Genomic DNA, 14,335 nt, shown 5'->3' with positions numbered 1-14,335 from the left:
AATTCTCCACATGAACCAGAAAGTGTTACAATGTCCCTGCAAATTAGGAAGTTCTACAATTATCTGAATGAACCAGGAAGTGTTGTAATGTCCCTGTGAACCAGGAAGTGCTATTTTCCATATGAACCAGGAAGTGCTACAATTATCCATATGACCCAGAAAGTGTGGCAATATCCCTATGAACCAGGAAGTGCTACAATTATCTGGATGAACCAGGAAGTGTGGCAATGTCCCTATGAACCAGGAAGTGCTATTATCCACACGGACCAGGAAGTGTGGCAATGTCACTATGAACCAGAAAGTGTCACAATTTCCCTATGAACCAGGAAGTGCTACAATTATCCATATGAACCAGAAAGTGTTACAATGTCCCTGCAAACTAGGAAGTTCTACAATTATCTGAATGAACCAGGAAGTGTTGTAATGTACCTGTGAACCAGGAAGTGCTACTATTATCCTTATGAACCAGGAAGTGTGGCACTATCCCTATGAACCAGGAAGTGCTACAATTATCTGGATGAACCAGGAAGTGTGGCAATGTCCCTATGAACCAGGAAGTGCTACTATTATCCACATGGACCAGGAAGTGTGGCAATGTCACTATGAACCAGGAAGTGTGGCAATATCACTATGAACCAGAAAGTGTCACAATTTACCGATGAACCAGGAAGTGCTACAATTATCTGGATGAACCAGGAAGTGTGGCAATGTCCCTACGAACCAGGAAGTGCTATTATCCACACGGACCGGGAAGTGTGGCAATGTCACTATAAACCAGAAAGTGTCACAATTTCCCTATGAACCAGGAAGTGCTACAATTATCCATATGAACCAGAAAGTGTTACAATGTCCCTGCAAACTAGGAAGTTTTACAATTATCTGAATGAACCAGGAAGTGTTGTAATGTACCTGTGAACCAGGAAGTGCTACTATTATCCATATGAACCAGGAAGTGCTACAATTATCCATATGAACCAGAAAGTGTGGCAATATCCCTATGAACCAGGAAGTGCTACAATTATCTGGATGAACCAGGAAGTGTGGTAAGGTCCCTACGAACCAGGAAGTGCTACTATTATCCACATGGACCAGGAAGTGTGGCAATGTCACTATGAACCAGAAAGTGTCACAATTTCCCTATGAACCAGGAAGTGCTACAATTATCCAGATGAACCAGGAAGTGTGGCAATGTCCCTATGAACCAGGAAGTGCTACAATTATCCCTATGAACCAGACGGTTCCAAATGTCTTTATGAACCAGGAAGTTCTACAATTATCCATATGAACCAGAAAGTGTGGCAGTGTCACTATGAACCAGGAAGTGTCACAATGATCCTAAAAACTAAGAAGTGCTACAATTATCCATATGAACCAGGAAGTATTGCAATGTCCCTGCAAACCAGGAAGTGCTACAATTATCCGTATGAACCAGGAAGTGCTACAATTATCCGTATGTATGAACCCGGAAATGTTACTATGTCCCTATGAACCAGGAAGTGCTATTATCCATATGAACCAGAAAGTGTTACAATGTCCCTGCAAACCAGGAAGTTATACAATTATCAGAATGAACCAGGAAGTGTTGCAATGTCTCTGTGAAACAGGAAGTGTTGCAATGTCCATGTGAACCAGGAATTGCTACTATTATCTATATGAACCAGGAAGTACTAGAGTTATTCGTATGAACCAGAAAGTATTACAATGTCCCTATGAAACAGGAAGTGCTACAATTATCCCTATGAACCAGGAAGTGTTGCAATGTCCCTGGGAATCAGGAAGTGCTAACAATTATGTGTATGAACCAAAAAGCGTTGCAATGTCCCTGTGAACCAGGAAATGCTACAATTACCCATAAGAACCAGGAAGTGTCACAATGTCCCTGTGAACCAGGAAGTGCTACTATTATCCATTTGAACCAGGAAATGTAACAATGTGAGCCAGAAAGTTTTACAATGTCCCTATGAATCAGAAAGCATTACAATCTCCAGATAAACCAGGAAGTGTTATAATGTCCCTCTAAACTAGAAAGTGCTGCAACCTTCCAATGACCCAGGAAGTTCATTTATCATGTCTAGGAAGCAGGAAGTGCTACAACCTCCCCAGTGACCCAGGAAGTTCTCTTACCATCCCCAGGAAACAGGAAGTGCTACAAACTTCGCTAGTGACCCAGGAAGTTTATTTAACATCTCCAGGAAGTTCATTGACCATCTCTAGGAAGCAGGAAGTGCTACAACCTCCCCAGTGACCCAGGATGTTCACTGACCATCTCTAGGAAAGCAGGAAGTGCTACAACCTCCTCAGTGACCCAGGACGTTTATTTACCATCTCCAGGAAGCAGGAAGTACTACAACCTTCCCAGTGACTCAGGAAGTTCATTGACCATCTCTGGGCAGCAGGAAGTGCTACAACCTCCCATGTGACACAGAAAGTTTATTTACCATCTCCAGGAAGCAGGAAGTGCTACAACTTTCCCAGTGACCCAGGGAGTTCATTTACCATGTCTAGAAAGCAGGAAGTGCTACAACCTTCCAGTTGATGGGGTACAGGACACCCCACCCTGAATAAGAATGTAGATCATTACGTGACACTCTGAAATATGCCACCTTGGCATACTGATTGCCTTGAGCAGAAATAAATCAAGAACCAGCCAAAGCACAACCCACGGTCTCTTGACTTCATCACAGTGCTCTTGTCTGACATTTCTTATTGACTTTAAAAATGTCCTGTCTGTGACATTTCTTAGGTCCAACAGGAAACCCCAAGCCAGGTAGCGGGAGCCAGGCCAGCCCCTGGATGTCAGCGGCTGCCTGCTTCTCTCACCATGCACTGAATCTTGCAAATTTGCTGTGACCTCACGTACAGGGGGGAAAAGCTGTTTTTTCCTTTGACATGCACACCCCTCTCCCCTCTCATCCTTCACTTCTGACACTGAATGTGTAGGAACAACTGCTTTTTTCTATACATACACTCAAAATATCTGTGACCAGAAGTCACAGAGATTCTGGGACTCTGTGCTGATAATCATTTTTTCCAGCCCTCTCATCCATGTGACCCAGGGCCCAGGTAGCCAGGAAAACCAGCAATTACTCAGCAGTAAACGACCACTCATTCAATCCTTGTTGTCATGTATTGGGTCCAGGTTACTGGGTCCTCACAGGCTAGATCCACCCTCCAACAGCTGCATCTAAGCTATCCAATGGGCTGGTGCATCTTCCAGGGAAAGATCATTTGGGGCTTTAGGAGAATTTGAAGGGCTGGGGGCAGCCATGGCAACCTGGGTGCCAAAGTCTTTCAATGACTTTTTTTTTCAATGGTCCTCTCCACTTTTATTTCTGTCTCTTTCCACATGTGAACAACTCCTTCATCCTCTGATGCAGGCCTCTCTAAGGAACCTGTGATTCCACTGTAATTACACAGCTCATCCTAAATAATCGTCCCATGTCAAGATCCTTAATGTAATCCCATTTGCAAAGTCCCATGTGTTGCATAAGGTCACACATTTACATGATCAAGGGGTTAGGATGTGGGCATCTCTGGGGACCAGTATTTCACCTATCACATGGGGTTTCAACACCTGATGGGATCTGGGAGCCTGATGAGGGAGGGTATCACCCCTGAAGAGCTGGGTCAAAGTGAACCAAGTAGCTAGAACAGGTGGGCACAGGAAGTTGGGGATTCCCAAGGGCACCACTTTGGCAGAAGTTAAGTGGGACCGTTGGGACCCCTCTACCTCTTGGGTCATGGATTTGTAGACAGACACTGAGAGCCTCCCACCAGAAGAGGGCACTGTCTGCATATAAAGAGAAAGATACACCTTGCTAATGCAGCAAGAAGAGGCCTAAAAGCAACTAACACTAACGGAGAGGCTTTCAAACCTCAGGGAGGTGGACCCAAATGGTATCACTGGTTTCTTTTGAGGGAAAGTTTGATTTTTTTTTTTCTCTTTAACTGCACTCTTTTGGGTCTCCCAGTTGATTGTTATTAGTACAGACTGCTTTTCAAATGGGAAATTAACTTTGCACTTAGCTGCCGAAGGGAATGATGACATTAGCAATGGGTACATGAGTGTAAGCAACAGCAGCGTGGGATCAGAGCCAGGATCTGAGACGCAGAGCTGGGAGGCAGGAGACAGCTCTCTGGGAGCAAGCAGAGGGGAGCAGGGGTAATAAGCACTGAAAACAAGGATGGCCCCTAGGGACACTCGAAGGGACATTTTCAAGACTGGGCACTGACTGTAGCCTCACTCTGTTCCCCTCCATCCCATGCCATGCCTGACTTCCTCTTTTCCCCCTCACTGAGCCCCACAGGCACCCTCAGTTCCACTGACCACAGGCCCTTTGCACATGCCACACTTGCTACACAAAACACCCTTTGACCCACTCCTTGGGATATAAGTCATCCTCATTCCTCAGCTGTTAGCTCAACTGTCATGTCCCCCCAGGGGTCCACATGTGTGCCCCTGCCTGAGCCCCAGGCAACTAATATGGAAGCATCTAGAAGCCTCAAACCTTCATCACTGCTCTTCCTACAGCACTCCAAAAACACAAACAAACTATAAGCAATTCGGCAACAGAGGAGACTTTAAAGAGTTACTCACTGTTTCGTTCACCATGAAGAAACATCTGTGAAATCAAAGTCATCCCCTAAAGAAGGGAAACAGGCTGTTAACACCAAAGTTCTGAGAGAAATGAGGAAGAAATGACCTGGAAGCAGATGGAGAAAACACCACAGGCCTAAGTTCTTAAGTGTTTTCTAAGTATCACTGTGACCAGGACCTCATAAGAAAAAGTGAATTCCTGATCATTTTCACATCACTCTTCTCTCAGACACAAAGAGTAAAAGATGAGAGCAAGAGTCAGGGGTGGAAAGAGAGGGAGAGAGAGAGAGAGAAACAAAGTAATTTATAAATGAACTGTGCTGGCTGGACGAAGTTGGAACTCTAACTCTGCCAACACAGGATTCCCTCCTGTTGATTTCCCATCCCATCACCATCTCCCTTCAGGTAACCAACACCTTCCGCCACGGAGGCCCTAAGAGGTGGGGACACATGACTATGATCAGATTTGGGCTAGAGGGTGTCTAAAAGGTGGCTCTATCAACCCAGACGTACTGGACAAACTGACGTGAAAATTCACCGTGGTTTCAGAGGTTGCCTTCTAGTTTTAAGCTTTTCAAATCCTGACTAAGGCTGGAGAAATTTTTACACTGAAAGGGGATAATAAGGAGGCTTAAATAAAAGAAACATGAGGGGCTACATCAAATCCGACATTTTTCCAAAACCATGTAAGAATATACTTACATGGTTTCAATGAGTAATCAATAACTTACGTGGTTTTAATGAGTAATCAATAAAAACCAGATGATTATCCAAATATATATATATAAAGAAATAAGAAACCTCATGGTATGAAAACCAATAATATTATATATTTGGGGAAAAATGTATACCAGAATAGAATGACCCTTCCTGAAATGACTACATTTTTTAAAAAGGCAATTTATTTTATTTAAAGGTGAGTATCTTTGGGTTTTTGCTTTAAAGTCAGGAATTTAAAATATCTGCTCTCTTCACTCATATTTAAACCTGTCCTGGGTTTACTATCAAAGGTAATACAACAAAAATACAAATAAAATGTAAAGAGAACATATAAAGATAGAAAATTGAAAAATATTTAAAAATCATGTGCAAATAATATGATTGTCTTCTTAGAAAGATAAGAAATGAGAAAAAATAGAAATTTAATAAGGGATCATAGTTCAGGATATAGTAAGGAAAAATATATTAAATCCTTTCTATGTAACAAAAATAAACAGAAAGATAGTGGGCATAAAAATATATCCAGAAAAATGAAAAAAAAGAAAAAACTAGAAATGCATTAAAAGAAATCATCAGGGAAAGAGGTACATCGAATATCAAGAAAAATCTCAATTTTGCAGGCATGTTGGTTCTGAAGTTCAAAGGAAAAAACGTCAGCTGGGCACGGTGGCTCACGCCTGTAATCCCAGCACTTTGAGAGGCTGAGGCAGGTAGATTATGAGGTCAGGAGTTCGAGACCAGCCTGGCCAATATGGTGAAATCCTGTGTCTACTAAAAACACAAAAATTAGCTGGGCGTGGTGGTGGGTGCCTGTAGTCCCAGCTGCTGGGGAGGCTGAGGCAGGAGAATCGCTTGAACCTGGGAGGGAGAGGTTGCAGTGAGTGGAGATCGTGCCACTGCACTCCAGCCTGGGCGACAGAGCAAGACTCTCTCAAAAAAAAAAAAAAAAGTCACCAAAATCAGAAAGCTCCGACAAATATAAGACACCATGAATAAAAATTTGAAGACTTGCCTGTCAAAAAATACTGTTAAACTATTCAATGGCAAAAATAAGATGAAAAAGCATTTTCATAGTAAATGGTTGGCAATATTTAATGTCTATAAAAAAATGAGGAACGTTTATAAAACAATACAGACATATCGGAAGATAAGAATAAAGGCAAAGTAATCAATACATATAGAAGAAGTAGGCTGGGCGCAGTGGCTCATGCCTGTAATCCTAGCACTTTGGGAGGCCGAGGCGGGTGGACTGCCTGAGCTCAGGAGTTGGAGACCAGCCTGGGTAACATGGTGAAACCCCATCTCTACTAAAATACAAACAAACAAACAAAAAAATTAGCCGGGCATGGTGGCATGCACCTGCAGTCCCAGCTACTTGGGAGCTGAGGCAGTAGAATTGCTTGAACCCGGGAGGCAGAGGTTGCAGTGAGCTGAGATGGTGCTCCTGCACTCCAGCCTGGCGACAGAGCGAGACTGTATCTCAAAAAAAAAAAAAAAGAAAAAAAAAGAAGTATACGTGGCAAATTGATGTACTATTTACTATTTTTTTTTAAATTGCAGAACTAAAGAACTGAAACTAGGCAAAGATTAATGTTACATGTGATAGTACATGACAAAGGTTTTCTAGGTGATCAGCAGCAGTAACGATGGTGGGAAGAAAGGGACATTTGCACATATCCCTGGCATCAAAATAAATTCATATAATTCTGGGCCAATTTCAGAACCAGGTCAAAACTACAGAAGTACTCATACACATTGATCTGAACAATTTGCATTCTAGAAATTGATTCGAAGGAATAAAAACAAGTGCATAAAGTTGATTCAAATTGACTTTGAAATCCATAATTCTAAAATGTTAGAAGAAACATAACATTGTCAAAATTAAATATTGAAGTATATAATTATGTGGGAAATAAATAAGGACATAAAATGGACAGTAAAAGTCATGTTAGAAAGACTTAAATGACATAAGAAAATCATCAAGAAATATGAATATGCCAAAAATAACGTTACTAGCACATAACTATCAAACTGTCAACAGGATTTGGACACTAGTTATATTTTTCTGTGTTACAAGTTAAACAAGCATGTAAACAAAAAAAAATCACTAACGATCTAACTATTTGAAAAGCACTCACCTCTCCACTGGGAATGCAACTATCCCTTCCTTCATATCATGTCTGTATTTAAAACCTCGTATTCAACTTTTTAGAGGTGGAATCCAAAAAATCTCAGAATTTAAGATTCTATTTAAGATTTATGACTTAAATCTTAAAATCTTAGAAGTAAAATCAGGACGCTAAAAATATAATCCAAATCAAAATTATATAGTTGAAAACTAGGTTTTGGAATTTCCTTGTACAAGGAGTGAAGAGTGAGCACAGGTTTCATGTGAAATCTCCCAGCTGACATGGATATCACTGTCCTGTAAACAACATACAGATGACCCATAGGGTTAGAGGCTCTTACCGGTGGAATCAGGCTGCTTGGGGTTTGGATTTGGCTTTGGTTTGGGTGGGTTCAGTGGTGCTGGCTCGTCTGTTTGTAAAAGATGAGAGTTGAGATTATGAGTGCCTTGAAGTGAAGAAAATGAAACATCAATTTGCATGCAGACGTTCACTAAACATATAAAAATTGGACCTTGTTCTTTGTCATGGTGGGGATACCCATACACACAGCCTCCTGCCAATATCCTTCCAACATCTTCCAGCTACAGTACTGATAAAGCATTTTCAATAAAACCTATCAGGCAGCTTTTCAGATCAGCTACAGAATTGGCAAGGTACTGTGTAAAATGAAAATGCAGAAATCCTTGCTCAACTGAATATTAAGAATTTCAAGATGACAACTAAAGACTCATAAACCAATATGGCACCCTTGTAAGCATGGGTCCCTGGGTGATCGAACAAGTCACACACTCATGAAGCCTAACTTGGCCAGGGGAGTCAGATTTGCCTTACATCATTCCAAAGACTGTGAGAGTTTTAAAATAAAACTATGCATACTGGTAAAAACAAAAACAAAGTCCAACAATATCCAAAACAAACAACAACACACCTACTCCCTAACTTTCCACTGTGCAAACAGGTTTCATTTATCATTCACAAGAGATACGTTTTTTGGAAACAATAATAATTTGGTGATAATAAGCAAGTCAGCCACAGTGGAGAGTTTAAGGAGTTACTCACAGTTTCCTTTGTCATGTAAGGCATCTGCTAAGTCAAAGTCATCCCCTAAAGGAGGGAAACAGGCTGTTAACACCAAAGTTCTGAGAGAAATGAGGAAGAAATGGTCTCGTAAACAGATGCAGAAAACACCATAACCCCACGTTCCTAAATACTTTTCTGGATATCCCTCTAACCAGAATCTCAATAGAAAAAGTGAATTCCTGATCATTTTCACATCACTCTCCCTTCTGATGAAAAGAACAAAAGATGAGAGCCAGAGAGAGAGAAATAAAATAATTTATAAATCAATTGTGCTGCCTGGACAGAGTTGGAATTCCAACTCTAACCTGCACATGGTTCTCTCCTGTTGATTTCCTGTCCAAATATCATCTCCCCCCAGGTAACCAACACCTTCCACCAGGGAGGCCCTAAGAGGGGTTAGAGGGTGTCTAAATAGTGACTCTGCCAACCCATTTATGCTGGACAAACTGACGTGAAAACTCACCATGGTTTCAGAGTTTGCCTTCTAGTTTTAAGCTTTTCAAATCCCAACTAAAGTTGGGAAAAACTTTTTTTTTTTTTTTGAGACGGTGTCTTGCTCTGTTCCCCAGGCTGGAGTGCAGTGGCACAATCTCGGCTCACTACAACAACCTCCTCCTCCCAGGTTCAAGCAATTCTCCTGCCTCAGCCTCCCGAGTAGCTGGGGCTACAGGTGCCCGCCACCACAACCAGCTAATTTTTGTATTTTTAGTAGAAATGGGGTTTCACCATATTGGCCAAGCTGATCTCGAACTCCTGACCTTGTGATCCACCCACCTCGGCCTCCCAAAGTGCTGGGATTACAGGCGTGAGCCACTGTGCCTGGCCAGGTTGGGGAAATTTTTATATTGAAAGGGGATAACAAGGAGACTTAAATAAAAGAAACATGAGGGGCTACATCAAATCCAACATTTTTACAAAACTATGTAAGAGTACATGAGTAATCAATAAAAATCAAATAATTAGTCAAATATATTATATATAAATAAGAAATTTCATGGTATGAGAAACTATACTATTATACGTTTAGGGAAAAAAAAGTATACTGGAGTAGAAAGAGGCTTTTTGAAGTGATTTACTTTATTTAAAGGTGAATCTCTCTGGGTTTTTGCCCTAAAGCCTGAAATAAAAGCTGTTTACTGTATTTACAATTCTACATATGAAAAGCTGTCCTGGGTTTATCTAGCAAAGACAGTACAACCAAATTACAAATAAACTGTAAACAAAATGTACAAATATAGAAAAGGGGAAATTAAAAAAAAATAATTTGCAAACAATTTGTGGATCGTAAAGAAAAATACACAAAATCCTTTGTATATTATAGTATAAACAGAAAAATAGTGGACTTAGAAATAGATTCAGAGAAACAAAAAACAAAAACAAAAACAAAAAACAATTGAGAAATCCATTGACAAAAATCATCAGGAGAAACAGATGCATCAAATCTCAAGGAAAAAGCTCAACTTTGAAAATGTTTCACAACTTCTTTGATCAACTTATGTTTGAAGACAATTCAAATGAAATTAAAAAGACAGTTTTACTTCTCCCAAGCAGGAGACACAATGGCAAAATTATTCTCCATTAAAATAAAAGTCACAAAACCAGAAAACCAACACAAACATAAGACACCATAAAAAAATAGGTCTTGCTTATGAAACATTCCTGTTAAAAATATTAAAAGGCAAAAATAAATAGCAAAAACATTTTCATAGTAAGTGGCTGATAATCTTTAATATCCATAAATAACTGAAGAAGACTTATAAATCAGTAGGTACATATGAGAATTTAAGAATAAAGGGGATAACATCCAATACACAAAAGAAGTAACCATGGCCAACTGGAATGCACTATTTTTTTTTAAATTTCAGAATTAGAGATGCGAAACTAAGACAAGTTTGATATAATCCTTACACTATGTGACAAAGGTTTTGCAGGTGATAACCAGTATAGAGATGGTGTGAAGACAGACATCTGCACACACCATCATCAAAATAAACTGGGACGATTCTGGGGCAAATGACGAACCAGGTCAAATACTATAAAAGGACTCATATACATTCATCTAGACAATTTGAATGCCAGAAATCTCTTCAAAGGAATAATAAAAAAAAAAAAAGTAGATGAAGTTGACTCAAATTTGCTTTGTAATTCATAATTCTAAAAAGTCAGAAGACACAATATTTTAAACATTAGGGATTAAATAAATTAATGTATTATATATTTATATAGAATATAATTGACAGTAAATGTCATATGATATAAATGATAAAATGACATGAGCAAATGTTCAGTGACTATTAATAAGTATAAAATAGGCCAGGCTCAGTGGCTCATGCCTGTAATCCCAGCACTTTGGGAGGCCGAGGTGGGCAGATCACCTAAGGTCAGGAGTTCGAGACCAGCTTGACCAGCATGGTGAAACCCTGTCTCTACTAAAAATACACACAAAAAAATTAGCCGGGCATGGTGGTGCATGCCTGTAATCCCAGCTACTCAGGAGCTGAGGCAGGAGAATTGCTTGAACCCAGGAGGCAGAGGTTGCCGTGAGCCGAGATCACGCTACTGCACTCCTGCCTGGGCAACACAGCGAGACTCCATCTCAAATAATAATAATAATAATAAAAATAATAATAATAATGTTACAATGCAGTATGAACAAAAGACTGGCTTTATTACTTAACGTTTGCTTCATTTAAACTGATATATAAAATATAAGCGCAAATAACCATCACAATGCCAAGAGGATATGAACATTATTTATGTTTCTGTGTTAAAAATTAAAAACAAAAAAGAACTAAAAACCTGAATGTTTCACAACAATTCAGTTCAAAAAACAGTTGCTAGTCAGATTACCTGAGAATGCTGTCATGTGTCAAAATAGCTGATACAAATATTCAAGGGCAAAAACATCAAAAACACCCAAGTTTCTCTACAGGGAATGCACAGGCCATTTTCTCTATACCAAGTTCATAAGAAAATCTTGTGCTCAGTGTTTTAGAAGTTCCATACAATCTTGGAAGTAAAATCAGCAAACTAAAAATAGAACGCAAGTCAAATATCTATTTCAGAAAACTGTATTTCACTCCCTGCCCACTGGAGTAACTGTACAAAAAGTCAATAGCAAGCACCTGCTCATCTGAAAGCCTGTCGTCCATCTGATGTGGATACCACTCTACCGTGGACAACATACAGACAACCTATAGAGTGAGAAGCACTTACCAATGAATCCAGGCTGCTCAGGGTTCGCATTTGGCTTCAGCTTGGGTGAATTAAGAGGTGCTGGGTCGTCTGTTTGTGACAATGAGAGTTGCAATCATGAGTGTCTTGGAGTAAAGAAATGAAACATCAATTTGCATAGAGATGGCTGACGGACCAGGTAAAAGTTGGAGCTTGTTGCTTGTCATGACAGGGATAACCGTACACACAGCCTCCTGCCAACTTTCTTCCATCATCTTCCGGCTACATTGCTTAATATCAAATTAAACTAAAGCAGGTGTCTAGATCAGTGACAGAGTTGGCAAGGTCCCGTGCAAAACAAAAATGTGGGACCCCTCGTCTCAACTGTATGAAGAAGAGCAACATGGTAACTACAGACCAGTAAACCAATATGGCGCTTTTGTAAACACAGGTCCCTGGGTGACTTCACAAGCTGCATGCCCGTGAAGGCTGACCTGGCCAGGGGAGTCACATTTGCCTTACATCATTCCAAAGACTGTAGGAGTTTCTCAACAAAAGCAAGTGGACTGGTTAAAAAAAAAACAAACAAAAGTCCAACAACATCAAAAACAGACAACAACACACTTACTCCCTAGGTTTCCACTGTGCAAACAAGTTCCATTGATCATTCTCAAGAGGTAAGTCTCTTGCAAATGATAATAATTGGGCGATAATAAGCAAGTTAGCAAGAGAGGAGACTTTAAAGAGCTACTCACTATTTCCTCCATCACGAAAGGCATCTGCTAAGTCAAAGTCAGCCCCTACAAATAGGAAACAGGCTGTTAACACCAAAGTTCTGAGAAAATGAGGAAGGAATGAGCTTGTAAACAGAGAAATCACTGGAGCCCCACGTGACTAAATACTTTATTGAACATGACTCTCACCAGGATCTCATCAGAAAAAGCAAATTGCTGACCATTTTCACATCGCTCTTCTCTCACATGAATGGATTAGAGATCAGAAGGTGGCTGGGGGGAGAGAGAGAGAGAGAGAGAAAGAAGAGATAGATACAAAGAGAGAAAGAAAGAAATTCATAAATCAATTCTCCTCCCAGACTGAGCAGGAACTCCAACTTCGCCTGCACATTATTTGCTCCTGTTTATTCCCATCCCATCAACATCTCGTCCAAGGCCCCCAACACCTTCTGTGAGGGAGACCCTAAGAGGTGAGGAAGAATGACTGTGATCAGATTTGGGCTAGAGAGTGTCTAAAAAGTGGGTCTACCCACCCAGGTGTGTTCCACAAACTGCTGTGACATTCTTGATAATTTCAGAGGCTGCCTTCCAGTTCTAAGCTTTTCAAATCCTAACTAAAGTCGAGGAACCATTTTTGTTTTGTTTTGAGACAGGGTCTTCCTCTGTCACGCAGGCTGGAGTGCAGTGGTGTGACCACGGCTCACTGCAGGCTCCGCCTCCTGGCCTCAAGCAATCCTCCTGCCTCAGCCTCCCAAGCAGGTGGGACAGCAGGTATGTGCCAACAAGCCTGGCTAATTTTTCATTTCATTGTAGAGAGGGGGTTTTGCTATGTTGCCCAGGCTGGTCTTGAACTCCTGGGCTCAAAAGATGCTCCCATCTCAGCCTCCCAAAGTGCTGGGATTATATGTGTGAACCTCTATTCCTGGCCATCATCAACTTTTTATATGGGGAAGGGAGAAAAAAGAGGCTTAAATGAAGGAAACTTTGAATCCAACACTTTTCAAAACCATGTAACAGTACATTAGTAATCACTAAAAAACCAATGACTTTTCAAATATATTGTGTATAAAGAAATAAGAAGTCTCACAGTATGAGAACCTATACTATTGTATGTTTAGAAAAAAAAGTATACTAGAATAGAGAGATCTTCTTGGAATGAGTATCTGGTTTTGTAAAGACAATTTATTTTATTTACAGGTGAACCTCTTTAGGTTTTTACCTTGAAATCAGGAATAAAAAATGTCTACTCTCTTCACTCATACTTAAAGCCATCATGTGTTCTCTAGCAAAGCCAATTCAACAAAAATACGAATGCACTCTGAAGACACTCTGAAGACAACGAAAAAACATAGAAAAGGAGACAAATTTTAAAATCACTTACAAATAATATGTCGGTCTTCTCAGAAACATTAAGAAATGAAGAGAAAACAATTGGAAGTTCACAAGGGTTCATCATTCAGTGGAGAGTAAGAGAGAATGCACAAAAATGTTGCTATAGTTCAGAAACAGAGAGACAAATAGCGCACATAAAATCGTACTCACCAAAACAAATCAATACTGACGGGAAAACACCTTAGAAATCCATTTAAATAAATCACCAGGAGAAAAAGGCACACAGAAGAATCTGCTCGATTTTACAAATATTTTAGCACTCTATAAATCAATTCATAGTTGTAAGTAATGCAAATGAAAAGAAAAAGATGGTTTTCTTTTTCCCAAGAAGGAAGAGAGACAGTGATAAAATGGTTCTGTTAAAAGGAAAAATGTGTTACACAAAGGTGGAAACTCACACAAACCTAAGACAACATAAAAAAGAAAAATTCAAGCCTTGCTTATAAAAGCTTCTGTTCAAAATGTTTTCAGAGGCAACAATAAAGTGGAAACACATTTTCATAATATAT

At 40.0% G+C, this 14,335-nt stretch overlaps 1 pseudogene across 2 annotated transcripts in view; it reads right to left on the bottom strand.

Moving 5' to 3' along the window:
- Positions 1-14,335, bottom strand: part of CD99P1 (CD99 molecule pseudogene 1) — a 47,965-nt pseudogene that overhangs the window by 25,990 nt on the left and 7,640 nt on the right. Inside the window, exons 5-9 of one of the 2 annotated variants that reach the window (NR_033381.1) lie at positions 12,456-12,500; positions 11,743-11,811; positions 8,506-8,550; positions 7,787-7,855; positions 4,598-4,643 (exon numbers count right to left, since the gene is read on the bottom strand). The product of NR_033381.1 is annotated as a CD99 molecule pseudogene 1, transcript variant 2 (transcript). The remainder of the gene's footprint in view (positions 1-4,597; positions 4,644-7,786; positions 7,856-8,505; positions 8,551-11,742; positions 11,812-12,455; positions 12,501-14,335) is intronic. The other variant, NR_033380.1, reaches the window with a different exon arrangement.

Source organism: Homo sapiens, chromosome Y (assembly GCF_000001405.40).
Source record: "Homo sapiens chromosome Y, GRCh38.p14 Primary Assembly".
Classification (NCBI taxonomy): domain Eukaryota; kingdom Metazoa; phylum Chordata; class Mammalia; order Primates; family Hominidae; genus Homo; species Homo sapiens.
Note: the sequence above shows the minus strand (reverse complement) of the source record. Positions and strands in the feature narration are given on the sequence as shown.